General features: G+C 42.1%; 1 annotated feature.

Moving 5' to 3' along the window:
* Positions 551–1,750: an enhancer, noted in NCBI's record as "BRD4-independent group 4 enhancer chr13:110492397-110493596 (GRCh37/hg19 assembly coordinates)". NCBI's record gives its function as "activates an origin of replication core promoter dependent on BRD2, P300/CBP, MED14 and CDK7 cofactors, and independent of BRD4, by STARR-seq in HCT116 cells {active_cell/tissue: HCT116}" and the evidence as "EXISTENCE:reporter gene assay evidence [ECO:0000049][PMID:35650434]".

Consider the following 2,024-nt stretch of genomic DNA (forward strand, 5'->3'; position numbering starts at 1 on the left):
GCTTAAGCTTTCCAAATGCCAAGGATTTTTAAAAGTGCTTTTGCCCCACCTGATGTAAAGAAATTTCTGTCCATCCAAGAAATCCCCCCAATCCCTAGAAGCATAAAGAAGAAAAATCAAAATCATCAAAATCATTCCCAGGCCTCCCAACCAAAGATAAGCTGTCTTTTTTTTTTTTTCACATTCAGGGTCATAATATAACAGATTCGAACTCACTTTCCTGTTTAATAAACAATGAGGGCCGGTCTTTTCTCCCGCCATTAAACATTCTTCCTCGATACCCTTCCTTGCTGGCTATGGAATGACATATCCATTCTTGGCAGGGCATATTCTAACAGAGAATACACTTCATGGAAATCATGATAGATCAAAATAAAAATTAGTGCACTAATTGGATTAATTCTAGTGTGACTAAATTAACCTAAGCAACAGCCTTTGGTGTAATATGACATTTTGAAGGGTTTGGCAGGCAAAATATCTATTACTAGTAAGTTTTGAATAATATCTGCCACATAACTTAGATAGTTTAATAGGCTAATATATAAGTTAATCTTTAAAAGTCAGCCTATTTTTATAATTAAGAGAACTGATATGAATAGAACGAAGGCACAAGAAGCATTTTTAAAAATAAAATTGTGGAGGAAAAGAGGCATTTAAGAGACAAGAAGAAGAGTGTTTAGGACTGATTAGCCTGAACGTGGAGAAAATAAAGCCAGCATTATGTATGGGGTCTGCTTCCTGTGGTGTCAGAGTCAAGAGATTAACTGTGCCGGTGTGGCCGCTGCGTGCCGGCTGTCAGCGTCTGTATCCTGCTGAATGATCCCCAAGCCCTTGTTCATCTCAAATTCCTTCTGAAAAAGAACATTTATGGAACACATGGAATGTGGCAGGCACCTCACCAGTGCTGACACAGAGACGCAAGAGACTGGAACTGTGCTGTCAGTGACTCAAGGGTAGTGGGACAGGCAGGTGACAAAGACTTGTATCATAGCATTGAGTGACTCAGCCATTCTGTATGTGGTTTTGGGGAGCACAGAGCAAATGGCCTCAGACTGTGTACGTGGGGTAGGGACATTTTCACAGAAGCATTATCTGAACCAGCTCTTGAAGAATGAGAAGTTCAGCATCTGGGCAAGCAGAAGAATGGCTGGTTTCTGGAAAGTCAAACCAAACCAGCATTAAGTGATGGCACATGCGGCGTGCATGCCCAGGCCACTTCTGAGTGGCAGGAAAGGATAGAGAGGAAGTGTAAACCACAGCCCTTGTCTTCAGGATTAGCAGGCCACATTCCCTGTGGCTTAGCCAACCCTGATCCCCACTTCCTTCTCAAAAATGTGTGAAGTCATCATTTTGGACTCATAAAGGTTGAAGAACAGGAGTCAGCTGAAGTCCCAGGCCAATGTTGGTTGCATACCCATCATTTGCAAATCTGGTCTAAATCTTTCTCTCTGATATGTGTCTAAGATTCACTTGGAACAATTGCATATTCTTTTATTCTACCTCACTGTCTGTTCTGAGGAAGTCCCTGCCTACCTTGGCTGGTGACATTGATTCTACAGCCACTTTACAGAGGTAACTGAGAAGTGCAGCTGGCTGGGGTTGGCTGTGGCTGTGGAGTTCTTAGGAGGGTGAGACACAAACCCCAGAGCCTGCTCACTCCGGCCACCCAGGACCTCTTTCTCTTTATGCGGTGGGATTTTGTTCTGAATGTTATCAGAACAAAATACCTTCAGCATCGGGAGCCCATGGGTTTATAGCCAAAATACTATATTACATGAGTGATTTCGAGATCAGTGAACACACACACACACACACACACACACACAAGGCCATAATAGAACTTTCTTTCTTCATAATTATAAAACTAACTTAAAAGTTTGGCATCATAAAACTTACACTGAAATATTTTAATATTAGAGTTGCGTTTTGTTTTGACTAGGAGAAGCCATTTAGCTCAGCTCTTTAGACCCTTTCCTTTGAAGATGTTGTCCACCGCAACCACCCCCCCGCCCAAAATGCTGATG

This window comes from Homo sapiens, chromosome 13, assembly GCF_000001405.40.
Source record: "Homo sapiens chromosome 13, GRCh38.p14 Primary Assembly".
NCBI lineage: Eukaryota > Metazoa > Chordata > Mammalia > Primates > Hominidae > Homo > Homo sapiens.